The sequence below is a fragment of the Homo sapiens genome, chromosome 2 (assembly GCF_000001405.40).
Source record: "Homo sapiens chromosome 2, GRCh38.p14 Primary Assembly".
Lineage (NCBI taxonomy): Eukaryota > Metazoa > Chordata > Mammalia > Primates > Hominidae > Homo > Homo sapiens.
The window spans coordinates 16,836,255-16,838,312 of record NC_000002.12 but is presented as its reverse complement, the minus strand read 5'-3'; positions in this window follow the sequence as shown (position 1 = coordinate 16,838,312).

Sequence of the window (2,058 nt, the reverse complement as noted above, 5' to 3'; positions counted from 1 at the left end):
CTAATCTGTTATAAGCTCTCATTCCCAACAGGGTACATTGAAAGAGGGGAGAACATAGGCAGTTTGGGGAGACTTGAACAGGAGCTTCCAGGGGCCTAAGAAGGTTCCATGCCTGGTAGTCACCAAGCCGCCAGGTCCTGCTGGAGGTGGTGGCCAAGTGTGGGGAGGGGATGTGTAGATGTATATGAGAAGCACTTACCTTGCAGCAGGGTAGATTGTTTGTTTTTCCTCTGCCATGAAATTTCACACAAAATCAAATGGAATAAAGTTATTGTAATTGAGGATAGCTCTATGTCCACAGGGGGCCCACTACTGTCCCAGGAACACAGCCACACAATTTCCCGTGAAATAAGAAGAGTTAAACTGAGCTTTACAGTTTACAGGTATCCTTCAAAATAATTAGCCTGTAATCATATGGATTTAAATTCACTTAATTTGGTGCTTCACTTAAGTGTCTATAAATGTAATAATTTCCACAATTCACCTTTTCAACAAATCCTTCCCTTAGAACAATTTATTTTACAGAAACCATCAGGAAATCAAATTCTATTAAACCTTACGCAATCATTTTCATCAACATCATCAAGGCATTATTTATATGTAAACAAAGGCACATATTATAAATATTCAGTTTGGTGCTTTGTGACAAATTCATAAACGATGCAACCACTACCGTTTAAGATAGAGTATATTTCCATTAGCCCCAGATTTTCCTCATCTGCCATCAATCACCTCTACTCACTGCCCTAGACAACCCTGGCCAGATTTCCATCTCTAGAGATTATTATACAGAGTACATACTTAACACTGTGGGACTCACCTCATGAATTTCTCTTTTCTTATGGGTTAGTCTTGCACTGCCTGGTGGTCAATACTGAAAGTGTTACCTTGTCAATTTTGTCTAATTCTATGGTTGTTTACATTGGGAAGGCTAGACTAGTACTAGATCCATCATAGTGAGAAAAAGTCCCATGCAATTGCTTTTATTACTGTATCATAAGGATATGATGTAACTTAAATTTAGGTTTCTACTTTCCAAAGATGTACATAAGCAAAACACACAGATACTATTAGCTGAAGAGTTCTGTACCAATTAATAATATCTTAATGGGTTAGAGTTTTAATAATGTTAATATTTAACCTTCATCATTTATTGGAGGTATTTTTTTCAGCAAGACTGTAAATTAGTGCTGGCAAAAATTTATAGCCCCAAAGCCCTGAAAACAGTTTCACCCTCACTTCCCTCTGACAGCCACACCCATTTCCCTCCAACAGCCAAGACTGGCCCAATCCTGATGGAGGCAGGAGCTGTCTAATTTCAGCACATTTATTTTCCTGCAAATCAGGTAGCATGTATCATTCTTGGAGATCAGGGAGCAGAGAGGTAAGGTTACGGAAAATCTCAATCAGCTGTTACACTCTCATCTAAGTGAATAAAATATCTCTGGAGCACCTGCTTAATGTTCCAGATACCACCAGGTAGGAGGAAATATTCAGAAAGCAAAAAAAGAAAGAAGGATAAAATGAAAGAAAAGAAGGAAAGGGAAGGCAAGGGAAGAGAAGGGAAGGAAATGTGTCTCTGTTCTGAAAGATACTATAGTTGTGTAACTGCAGAAGACCTAGATGGTAATTCCATATGATAAGATGACTTACAGAGACATGAGTGAAGCCTTAAGAAAGCTCAGAGAGAAGTCACCGACTGCCTGTGCAGAAGGCAAACAGATGAAGGAATATTTAAGTAGATACAAATGCAATAGGTACAAATCTGACAGTCAATATTTGTGACTAATAAAGATATTACTTGCTTTGTTTCTTTGCAACTAACTGTAACTTATCTCTGAAATGACCATCTCTCTTTGGTAGCAGGTAATTTAATTTTACCAATTCAAGAATCATTCAATTGCTTCTGGCTTAATATTCAGTCTCTGGAGGAAACACTCTATTTTCCTCTTCCTCTTCCCTTTTCCTGAGGGTGTACTTTATGGTGATCTAATTCCTAGGAATTTCCTTTTATTAATTTGTTTAGGTTTGAATAGGGGGCTTGCATATTATCCAGGC